This window comes from Homo sapiens, chromosome 4 (genome assembly GCF_000001405.40).
Source record: "Homo sapiens chromosome 4, GRCh38.p14 Primary Assembly".
In the NCBI taxonomy this organism is placed as follows: Eukaryota; Metazoa; Chordata; class Mammalia; order Primates; family Hominidae; genus Homo; species Homo sapiens.
This window is the reverse complement of record NC_000004.12, coordinates 123,553,705-123,566,449: the sequence shown is the minus strand read 5'-3', so window position 1 is coordinate 123,566,449 and position 12,745 is coordinate 123,553,705. Positions and strand designations below refer to the sequence as shown.

Sequence of the window (12,745 nt, the reverse complement as noted above, 5' to 3'; positions counted from 1 at the left end):
TCATAATTTAAAAATCAAAAAATAATAGATGTTGGTGCGAATGTGATGAAATAGGAACACTTTTACACTGCTGGTGGGAATGTAAACTAGTATAACCACTATGGAAAACAGGACGGAGATTCCTTAAAGACCTAAAAGTAGAACTACCATTTGATCCCTCAATCCCACTACTGGGTATCTGCCTAGAAGAAAAGAAGTCATTACATGAAAAAGACACTCGCACACTCATGTTTATAGCAGCACAATTTGCAAATGCAAAAATATGGAACTAGTCTAAATGCCCATCAACCACCCAGTGGATAAATAGAATGTGAGATAGATAGATAGATAGATAGATAGATAGATAGATAGATAGATAGATAGACAGATAATGGAATACTACTCAGCCATAAAAAATGAATGAAATAATGGCATTCACAGCAACCTGGATGGAGTTGGAGACTATTATTCTAAGTGAAGTAACTCAGGAATGGAAAACCAAATATCGTATGTTCTCACTTATAAATGGGAGCTAAGCTATGAAGATGCAAAGGCATAAGAATGATATAATGGATTCTGGAGACTTGAGGGCAAGAGTGGGGCAGAGGTGAGTGATAAAAGACTACAAATTGGGTACAGTGTTCACAGCCCGGGTGATGGGTGCACCAAAATCTCAGAAATTGCCACTAAAGAACTTACTCATGTAACCAAAAACTACCTGTAGCCCAAAAACTATTGAAATAATGACCAAAAAAAGGGGTGTGTGTGTGTGTGTGTGTGTAATAATCCAGGAAAGGGGCTGGGCAACCAGGGAAGTAGGTAGAAATATAGATAAAATAAGATTGGCCATGAGTTAATGATTGCTGTCAGTGTGGGAGATGGGTAAATGGGGAGGTCCATTGCACTATTCTCCTATCTTTATGTATGTTTGAAATTTTTATTACTAATAATAAATTTTTAATTGATTAGGCTTTGGAGCCAAATTGCCTGGGTTTGAATCCCAATTCAACTATTTAATAGCCATATAACCTTGAGCAAATTAAAGCAAGTTGTGAAACCTCTCTGTAACTCAGCTTCCCTATCTATAAAATAGGAGTGATACAAAGTCATTACTTCAATGGGTTGTTATGAAGATTAAGTGAAGTAATGTATGTAAGGTACTTAAAACAATTCCTGACATATAGTAGACACTTAAATGCTAGCTATTATAGTGTTCAGGGTCCACAAAATTGGTTGAAACCCTGACTTAGAATTTCTGGGCATTCAAACCCGTAAGACTGGCTCATGAGAAATCATTATTACTTCTCAATGAGGAGCACAATATAAATCCAACAACTTCCTTCTCTCACACACAACAGCTAAATAAGACTACGAAGACTGGTCAATCTTTCAATGCTCAACATTTTGACACTCTCTGCTGCTCCCAGTAGAGGCTTCAGGTCAATGTCACATTCTTATCTGTACTCCCCATGAAACGGCTGGGTTTCTTCTCTCACCACCACCTTTAGGGGGCAGCCCATAAGTATCTCGCTGAGACCTCTAGTGGTTGTGTTGGTTAGCAGAAAACACAGTGGACAGGAGTCAAAAGCCCTAGCTAGATTCTTATACTGTCTTTGTTCCTGAATCGCTGTATGACCTTGAAGAATCGCTTGCTCTTCCCAGAATTTAGATAACATAATGTTGACAACATTTTTGGAACTCTTGTCTGAAAATTCTCTTTAGAGACTATTAGAAAATTATTTGGAGCACCTTTTGCTAACGGCTAAGTCTTCAGCCTTTGAGGGTAAAATCATACTTACAGACAAGATCATTTGAATGAAATGCACAATAAAGCTGTCTCTGGTTTAAAACCAGGTGTAACTATTAATAAGGGAGACAATTTATTTTAAAAAGCATAGATTGACTTTTTAAAACATTCTAAAAGAAAGGCAGTAACAGAATTCTCAGATCAAATGTAAATAGTTTCTTTAGAAGATGTCTGCAGAGAACTTTTGGGGGGTGATGTTTATTAATTTTTCTTTAAACCAAGTTCATTAGTTTTAAATCTCACCTTAAGCAGAATCATAGTCTTTCATTTACAAAACACTTGGATGTATGGGTTTTGTCCTTTGTGCAGATGTAGTTATATAGGTTAAATTACAAATCAAAAATCATCAAATTATTTGTATTTCAATTAAACAGCTTAAAGAAACTCATAGGTACAAGTAGGAGCTAGGGCAGTTGTGTTGCACCCTGTGTGAAATGGAACTAATAATAGTGTCTCTACGGCCGGGCACAGTGGCTCACACCTGTAATCCCTATGCTTTGGGAAGCTGAGGTGGGAGGATAAGTTGAGCTCAGGATTTGGAGACCAGCCTTGGCAACATAGGGAAGCCAAGTCTCTACAAAAAAGAAAATGTAATAAGCCAGGTATGGTGGCATACACCTGTGGTACCAGCTACTTGGGAAGCTGAGGTAGGAAGATTGGTTGGGCCCAGGAGGTCAAGGCTGCAGTGAGTCATGACTGTGCCACTGCACACCAACCTGGGTGACAGAGTGAGATCCTATCTCAAAAACATTTTAAAAATAGATAGGTCGTTGAATGTGGGCTAATTTTTTTAATTTTTTAAAAATTAAAGGTTTTTTAAGGATTAAATGAGTTAATATATATAAAGTATTTAGATAGCTTATAATAAAAGTCAAGTAAGTATTAACTACTATGAACTTTATGAATATTTCACTGTTTCCAGTTCTCAAAAATGTAAATATCTCATTTAGTTTCATTTTTCATTCATCCTGCTTATGGCAAATGTGGATTCATATCACTGAGTGCACACACATTTTTGAGGATTTGAAATGCTCTTGAAGTTTTTTCCATACTTAGGCAGAGCATTCTTATCTAGATAGATAAGCTTGTATGCAAATAAATTGGTTTCTACTAAAGGGCTCCAACCCATCCATTAATCATGGGATAACTATATACTTCCAGTTTTCAAGAAAACAGCTATAAATATCTATCCATCAACAAATATTCACTGCATGCCAGCTATATCCAAGGAACATGTTGGGAGCTGTGGAAATACAAGGAAGGAAAAGTCATGAGCCCCATCCTCAAGAAGTCTGCCAGTTGAAGAAAGGAGGAAAATTTGCATACGGAGATGAATGGCTGTTTAAGAGAGCACATGGTAAGTGCTAAGTGACCAGGCACAGCGTCCATCCATAATGATATATTTAGTAGAAGACAGGCACGTAGGTAAAGAAATCCCTGAAGATTAGGGTGATTCAAACATCCTTTCAGAGGAGATGGACTTAAGCCAAGGATTAAGGGATGAGTAAGATTCCAAAAAAGGAGGGAGAAAGGCATGAACAAAGGTGAAGATAGATTTTTAGTTGACAAGGGGAGGTCTACACTGCCAAGGCAGAGCTGGTTTAAAGAAATTGTGGGAGAGTCAGCACAGGTATTGAGACTCTTGAAGACCAACCTAAAGAATTTCGACTTTATAAGTGATATGGAATAGCGGTTTTTGAACAATGCTTTGACATGAGTAAAGTGGTATTTTATTTTATATTTTTTAATTTTTTTTTGAGATGGAGTTTCACTCTTGTTGTCCAGGCTGGAGTGCAATGGCGCAATCTCGGCTCACTGCAACTTCCGCCTCCCAGGTTCAAGCGATTCTCCTGCCTCAGCCTCCTGAGTAGCTGGGATTACAGGTGGCTGCCACCACCCCCAGCTAATTTTTTTGTATTTTTAGTAGAGATGGGGTTTCACCATGTTGGCCAGGCTGGCCTCGAACTCGTGAACTCAGGTGATCCACCAGCCTCGGCCTGCCAAAGTGCTGGGATTACAGGTGTGAGCCACCTCTCCCAGCCATAAAGTGGTATTTTAAAACTTTTTCTAGATTTGGGGTCCATATAGTCTCCTATGGCTGAATCATCTGTGGATATAGGTATTTATATTCCCTTCTCTCCAATTTTCAAGAATTTTGTGGTCCATTTGCCTATGTTTACAGCACCTTTGGTTCATATAATCCCTCAGATTTGAGTTCATCTTTCCAAAACAGGAGAAGATTAAGGTAACAGACATGAGATTTGCTGCAAACTCTCTTCCCACACCCAGATTGATATACCTAATATATATCTTCCATAAATTTACGCTCTTATAAACACAGCAATCATATACATATATATGAGATTATTTTATTATCATTGTCAGATTTACAAAAGCAACATGCAATACATGTGCTTTACCATTGTGTGTTGGCCACTAACTTATGCACCATGAAAATGCCTCCAAGTGATTTTTAAGTCATTCTCTTTACTATTTCATGAAGTAATAATAACTACTATTTATTGAGTTACAATGTGCCAGGCACTGTTCCCACATGTTACCTATATCATTTCATTTGAGTCTCACAAAACCTTATGAGATTGGTGTCATTATTGTCCTCGTTTTATAGATGAGAAAACTAAGACACAGGGGCTAAACATCTTCCCCAGGACCATTCATTGTATGTTTAAGATGAACACAGAAATGGATTACAGCCCAGGCATCCGACACTAAAGCCATACCATTAACCACTGTGCCACACCGCTTAGCCCAGTAGTGGTGTAGGTCCTAATCAGCCCCTCACTAATGGACATTCTCTTTGATTCTGGATTTTTGCCACCATAATACTGCTGCAATAAATATCCTTGGTCATACATCCTGATCTATGGGTGTTTTTATTTCTTTCATTCAACTAATATTTACTGAATGCCTCATCAGTGCCAGGGACTATTCTGGATGCTGGAGTTCCAGTGATGAATAAGACAGATGAGGTCCTTGTTTTCACAGAGCTCACATTCTGGTGGGAAGACAATAAATGAATGAATCAATCAACAAATGAGGGAATAAATGAAGAATATGAAAAATAGGAGATAATGGTAAGTCATATACAGAGAGTTAAAATAGGGTAATGCAATATAGGCAGCCACTTGGTAATAACTATAGATATTTTTAATATGATATAGACCTCCAAATATGAGATTGCTAGGTTGAAAGGATATATTTTCAGTTTTTAATAATTACTGTTACTTTGCTTTCCAAAAGGCTTAATAATTCTCATTTCTACCAACAATAAAAATACAGATTTTATTATTATTTCTTTTTCTTTCTGGACACAGAGTCTTGCTCTGTTGCCCAGGCTGGAATGTAGTGGCACAATCTCAGCTCACTGCAACCTCCACCTCCTAGGCTCAAGTGATTCTCTTGCCTCAGCTTCCCAAGTAGCTGGGACTACAGGCACGTGCCACCACCCTCCATTAATTTTTTGTATTTTAGAAGAGATGGGGTTTCACCATGTTCGCCAGGCTGATCTCAAACTCCTGAGCGCAGGCAATCCACCCGCCTCAGCCTCCCAAAGTGCTAGGATTACAAGTATGAGCCATGGCGCCTGGCCAGAAATATAGAATTTTTAAATAAACTTTTTTTGTCTTCCTTCTATGATACTAAGAGAACTTGAAAAAATTCTTCCTTCTCAATAACTATACTGACCTATTTCAAATTCAACATAAATGTATATCAGCTACAAGGTAAATCTCATTTTCTATACATATATATATATATGAAATCAAGAATGTGCATCTCACTGAACACTCTCAAAGAAATGTATGTGCTTGCTGCTTGTCGATAAGTCGGGGGGGTAGAGAATGGTCTTGTCTCATGTTCTTAGTACAGACAGTGGAAGAGTTAACATTTCTTAAAGATAGTGGATCACATTTAATTTTTAGAAAACAGCAAGGAAGCAAGTCTAATAAGTTGAAAGGGACTCCTATAAAGAAAAATCTTGATAAACATTAAAAACAACCCTTGAGAGGCTGAAGTATTTTCAGGAGTAGCCATCAAAAGAATACCACAGAATCTATCTTTCAGGAGTAGCCATCAAAAGAATACCACAGAATCTATCACCCATAGCCTACGCAGTTAGACTTTCCCATCACATCCCCTTTCCTTGTTTATAGACCTGCCTGGTTATCACCAGTTCTAGGGGACTGTCATTATTTCAAGGACTCGTAAATATGCAACAGGTATTTCATGGGAGAAAATGCAACTGAATAACTTCTAACCACCCTAAGAAAGAGACAGGAGAAAAATGCAACTGAATAACTTCTAACCACCCTAAGAAAGAGACAGGAGAAGCGTCTGTCTGGCTCTCACCAGTCTCCCGACCCCTTCACCCATTCTAAGGAAAAGCAAGGAGGCAGCACTCAGACCTGGCTTCTCTGCAGAATACCCTGCCAATCCAGAGAGAGGGGATGACAGCATCCATATCTAAATCTAACCTCTCACTTTAAAGGTCTGCACGTTTTTTGTGTGCAGGAAGGCAGGGTTTTATTTTAACCATGTTTCACAAGCAAAAGCAATGGAAAGAATTCCATGCCTAATCTTTGTTTTTCCTCCCTTGAAATTTGATCATATTCCTAACTTTAGTCATACTGCCTGGTTTCCTTTCCTTAATGGAGTGAAATTTATGTCTGTGATTAGAGAATTGGCTTGGGAAAACCATTTGCGTTTTAAAAGTTATATGTTTTAAGAATAATAGATATGGAAATCCTAGAAGAAACCCAGTGTGCTTTGGATGTTAATACAGACATCATAATGACTTGCTATTTCTATCCCCAGTTAGTAAGTAATGGGCGTATTAAATTTATTGAGGATGGGGAGGAGGATGAAACTTTGAATTGAAAAATTTTCACAAAGAGCATAGTGATAAATTTAGTTATAGCCTACATGTACAGCTTTTTGACTAAAATATCTGAGGATTATTTTGAAAATAAAGAATAAGGTGACAGTCATTAAAAAGTTTTGCTGGAAGTGCATTTACTGTGTGATCCTTGAACTCTAGCATTCATAGTCACAGGGAAAAAGTAATCAGATGTTCCTTGCTTTATGCCATAGATATAGTCCTTAATTCAAACACATTTTCAATGTATCAGGGAAAGTCACTAAAAATGAAGCAATGTGGTCCGTCCTTAAGGGGACAAGGGACAAGGCAACAAAATGACCTTCACCAAATCACAAACAGGCTAAATTCCCCCTAGTTGGAAGCTGCAGGGAAGGAGCAAGAGCTCCGTCCTCATAGCTGCACAAACCAGGGTGTAAATCCCTCTACATTCTTGCTGTGTGGCTTAGAGCAAGTTACCTAATATTCCTGAGCTTCATCTGCAAAATGGGGTGTTATCAGTACCTCACTTCTGAGGGGTTTATGAAGGTGAAATGAGATCATGTATGTAAAACAGGGAAGGCATTTATTTCATTTTGGTTCCCTCCTTCTTCCCACCCAGTTTTTAGCCTGGCTTTGAGATCACTGAATCGGAAGAAAGGAGCCCAACAGAAAAAAAAGAGTTGGATATGGGGTAAAAATGAAGGGCTGCTTGGGAGTGGTCAGTACTGATTTGGCAGAACAAAGAACCAAAGAAATGCCACCCATACCTGAAACACAACCTGCAGCCAGCCCTCTGCTGCAGAGAGAAAATGCTTTAGTAATATGAATAATTGGCTCCTAATGCTTTTCATTTCTGAGTTTTTCTAATCAAGACACACCCATTCATTTACTACCTGCTGCATATAGCTTTGTGCTACTGTAAATATACTGTTTGTCACTCACTTCAATACTGATCATTTAAATGTTAAAGGTCTGTGATAGTCCTTACCCAAAAAAAGTCAAAATATTTATTAATTTTTTTACAACATGATAGTTTCAAAAATATGGTCCATGATATCCTAAGCATAACAAAAAAGAAAAACTGTATGACCCCAAGCAGTTCATGTAACATAAAAATTTTCAAATTTTCAAATATCACTATCACATAACATCCTCTTCCTTATAGGAAAGTATATTTGAAAAGTCTAGGTGTAAGTGACCCTGTAGGTTTTTGTTCTTTGTTTTTTTTTTTTTTTTAAGAGACAGAGTCTCACTCTGTTACCCAGGCTGGAGTGCAGCAGTCGTGCAATCATAGCTCACTGCAACCTTGAACTCTAGGCTCAAGCAATCCTCCCACCTCAGCCTCTCAAGTAGCTGAAACTACAGGCACTCGCCATCATGCCTAGCTACATCTTATTTTTTGTAGAGAGGGGGTCTCACTATGTTGCCCAAGCTGGTCTCAACCTCCTGGGCTCAAGCGATCCTCCCACTTTGGCCTCCCAAAGCACTGGGATTACAGGTGTGAGCCACTGTGCCCAGCCTTAGGCCTGTTAATAAGTTAATGAAATTTAAAATACAGAATTTAAAAGTGTGTAAAAATATTTTCTCACTAAGAACTTTCATATCTTCAGCCTTCATTTGTCATTTCCATCGAAGAAAGTCAAGTGACTTTGTTTAGAGGTCACTTTTCACAAAGGAACCAAATGTTGATCACTCCAGCAGAGTACTGGCTGCATCTATCAGGATGTGTGAAGAACAACAGTTGTGCTGAGGTGTGACCACTAAGGTGGCTGGGTAGTTTATTCACTGCACAAGGGCTTGCTGCCACACACAAGATGAAATTTCAGAGTTTTGGGTGCCATGGATATTGCAAATTATAATATGATGGACCTTTAAGGATGCCTTATGAACAGATGAAGCTGCCAATGTTATCTCCATAAATGTCAAATGCCTAACATTATAGATATAGGAGGCAGGATGCAGTTAATCTTATCCCCCAATCACGAGCACATACAGGAACTGGCAGGAAGTAATACATGCTTTAAACCAATTTTAAGGCCACGATCTTTTGCAGATAGATGTCTGTATTCTTCTGAACAGAGATGTGTAGTAGTCAGATATACGTTGGGAAATCCATGTCCCTCCTCAAGAGACCTGTCTGATGATGAGAAAATTGTCTTTACTCAAGAATCTAAATTACCCAATTTCATTACACCATGGTGTGGACCATCAGCGGCCAAGTATAATTTTTAAATTCATCTTTCTTTGCTCTCCTTTTCCCTGAAACCTACCTACAGAGTCAGCTAGGTGCTTGGTTTTATAGGCAATTTGTCACAGTTTTTTTTTCATAGCTAAAGATTACTGAAATATTTGAGACTTTTTTTTAGACAGGGTCTCGCTATGTTGCCCAAGCTGGCATGCAGTAGCTATTCATAGGAACGATCACAGCAGCCTCAAACTCCTAGCCTCCAGTAATCCTCCTGTTTCAGCCTCCCAAGTAGCTGGGACTACAGGCTCACTCTGCACCCAGCTGAGACTCGTTTTTTAACTTCACATTGTAAAAAGCAAATAGTCAATTCATTCACGTAGGTTTTTTAAAAGCCAATTAAGTACATAAACCATTATTTGTGTAATACAAGTTCAAATAATGAAAAAGTCTCCTTTTTTAAAACCTTTAACTAGTTCTTTTGGCATCACAGATACATATATAGATGGTTTCACATGGTTCCAATCCTCAAATAAAAATATTTAAATAAGATTTCATACTAACATGGCTTTATCCTGGCATTTCTTAAACAGATGCAGAAAAATTCCCTTCTAATAAATTATCTGCTCCCACTGCCGCCAACATCCACTCCATCACTACCACCAGCCCCAAATTGCTTTATTGCAGTAGAATTATGTTATAATGTTAAATTGCTATAATTCGGTTTCCAGGCTAGAGGAAAAGCAGCACATATAGTCAGTCTTTCAGAGGCACATTAGCGAATGAAAAGTATATTGCAGGAGAACTAAGGAAGTAAGTCAAGGAACTTTGTCGGGGAAGAAGGAAGTAACTCCTACAGGCTATTTACCCCTTTTACGCCACCCTCTTTGTGTATTCCTGGGGTTTGCTTTGGTTTGGGTATACAGATGTTTGAGGTAGTGAGTGATCATAATAAAAGGTGACTGCAACTTGATGACAGGGCTAAAGAATCTTGGAGAGTTCAGCTGTGCTCCACTACCTCTCTGTTCTCTCCCCAATTCCTAATGTCTTTCATGCTCAACTGAGTCCTTTCCATGTAAAGAGTGACTGATATGGGGACCACAGCAAACATTTTTGCAACACAATTTCTTGCTGTAGAAAAGCAGTTGTAATCAAAATCAATAAAGCACTATTCCTGTGAGCCTCTACGAGACATAGAAACGATATCATTCTACCCAACCCTTCTTTGAAGTGAGATTCCACCACTACCTACCCCTTCATTTAATAAAGATTCATTTTGAATTATTATGCATCGAGTCCTCTGATAGACACAGGGCAGGGAGAAGGGGAGAGACAAAGAGGAAATGACAAGAATGTGGGCCTTGCCATCAGTGTTCTGGGAAGGGGATGGTTGAGGGAATGAGGCATTGTAAGAGAGGAATGTAAAAATCTAACTTTTTGCAGTTCTTTTTCCCCTTTAATCAAGCCCACATGTTTAACACCAGGAACTAAATGTGGTGAGGAGAGAAGGATTATAAAAATGTTCACTTTCATCCTACAGATATGAGAAAACAAGAACATATTGCCATTACTCGACAACTTTATAGCTCCAAATAATGCTAGCATGCAGTAAATCAATGCAGGCTTTCGCTGGCTCATGGAATGCATACCTCACGTTTGCTCTGAGAGGGAGCCCGTGTGATTCCATCTAGTGCCAGGCTGCCAATGGCCCTAGACGGGATTGAGGAGAAGGGGCTGGGGTTGACAGGGGGAAGTGGGGGTCCGATCTGCTCTCAGAGCCAACAAATTCTCCAATCCCTAGTCCCTCAACAACCTTCCTTCTCTTCTTAAGGAATGACAGAAATCAGGAAATATTACTTCGGCTTGCAGGCTTCTGTCCTGGCCTATCAAACCCACAGAGAAGTCTCAGCAAATTACTGGAAACTGCACTTTGAACTTAGTCCCTGGCAAGCAGCCCAGTCAAACAGAAATGTAAAAGTTCCTTTCCTCCGCGGGGCCCCTGCACCAGGGTGTCCCTATAGACACTCTAGAGCTGATTGCAACAGGTTGGAATGAGGCCCCACGCCAGGAAAACAAGCCCTGACCAGTATGATTTCCTACTGCCTGTGTTGTTTCTTAAAAAGGTTTTTTTTGGCTTGTTCTCCCTCGTTTTGTTGGACTAGGTTACAGGCTCAGGTCCCATCGAGGAAAAGACTGGCACCATTTTCACAAAATGCTTAATCCTTGTTTAGTTCGAAAACTGCTCCATCAGCGCCACCAGTAAGTGTAGTCATGTTGGGGGGCAGCTGGGGGAGACTGGTCAGGCCAGTTGCTAAGCAAATTCTTAGAACTCCCAGGGAATCGAGAAGTAATTAGCTTGTAAACCCTGCAGATATTTCTACCTCCGACAAGGGAGACAATATTTCTCTGCCCACAAGGCTTCACTACGTGGTACTAAAATAAACCAACAACAGGGACTGGCATGGAATGAACAGCCTCAGCCGTGCCCGGTCCCATAGCTACTTCTCCTTCATAAGGGGAAACAAAACATTGGCCTCTTTCTAACTGTTATATTTCTAAGAAAACTCAATTTGTACAAGCAAATAAACTGACTCATTATAAAACTAAGAGGTCAACAAGAGGCAGATAAAACTAAAGGTTAGACAGCTGGAGAAACAAGCCTCTCTTCCAGCTGTAATGGGGAGCTCCTTTGGAGGAAGCAACAAGTGCCTTGGGGGATCCATCGTCAACCTGGGAAGAGGAGGGGGCAGGAGAAGAAAGAGGAGCTCTGGCACACTCAAAGCCCATTTTCTGTTGGATCAAACATTCCTTTCGGAAAAACTAAAACTGATGCAAATCATAGCCAGATCTGGCCAGCAGTGACCTAACTCTCTTAATGTGCAATTATTTTCACTGCTTTCTCATAATGGGTTATTTTTCTACATTTGTATTGTTGCATATGCAAAGTGTAAACAGGGCAGTGATCTACTCTTCTGATAATTTTATAAAGAAAATTTCCCAAATGTGTTTTTTAAAGCCCTACATTCTCCCTAAAGGTTTCACATGGATTGGTAGAACCGCTTGTTTCATCTCTCAGCCCACAGCTTACCCCTTCCCTGCCTCCCTGACCTCCAACTGACCCAGTTCTGTAATAATCAACAGTCAATGAACACCACACAATTCAAAAAAAAAAAAAGAAAATGCTATTGGGCAAAGTTGCAGTTAGGGCACTCCTGGTTAGCCCTGTCATTTTTGAGGGAGGTTCCCACAGGTTTTTTATTCTCATTGTTAATGCAGAACTTTTGCACAGCATTTTTCATCTCTTTCCCCCTCTCCTGCCTCCCAGTGGTTCTAGTAGAAGTAAGGTAAGAAAGAACAACAAACCCAAGTTTCATATCAAGTCTACAAAGATAGTATATTCAAGGTGAATCATTCTCTCATCCAAGTATTCAATGTACATTTATTATTATTCCCTCTAACAAAGCAAATATCACCATACATATATCCCTCTTAGTCTCTATGTCCTCATTTACAAAATAACCTGATACAAAAATACCTACCTCCTGGGGATGTTGTTCCAAGAGATGACAAGTGTGGGTGGTCACACCCAGCATGCAGGAGATTCCCTGGGAATAACTGCAAATAGAAGGCTGGATGCTAGATAAGAGGTGGGAGCTGGAGGGGGGCCTCTGGGTAGCAGAAGAACAAAGCCTGCTGGAGAGTATGAACTCCCTAAGAGAAAGGGCAAAGGGTGTAAAGCAGAATCAGGAACTTAGCTGGGTGGGTATCAGGAATTAGAGCAGTGTGAGCCGGGCACAGTTGTTCTGCCTGTAATCCCAACCACTCAGAGACTGAGGCCGGACAATAGCTTGAGGCCAGGAGTTCAAGACCAGCCTAAGCAACATAGTGAGACCCAGCC

At 39.7% G+C, this 12,745-nt stretch overlaps 1 annotated feature.

Moving 5' to 3' along the window:
• Positions 1,244-1,745: an enhancer, noted in NCBI's record as "NANOG hESC enhancer chr4:124485860-124486361 (GRCh37/hg19 assembly coordinates)". NCBI's record gives its function as "activates a minimal SCP1, AML or CMV promoter by ChIP-STARR-seq in naive H9 embryonic stem cells {active_cell/tissue: H9 hESC(naive)}" and the evidence as "EXISTENCE:reporter gene assay evidence [ECO:0000049][PMID:30033119]".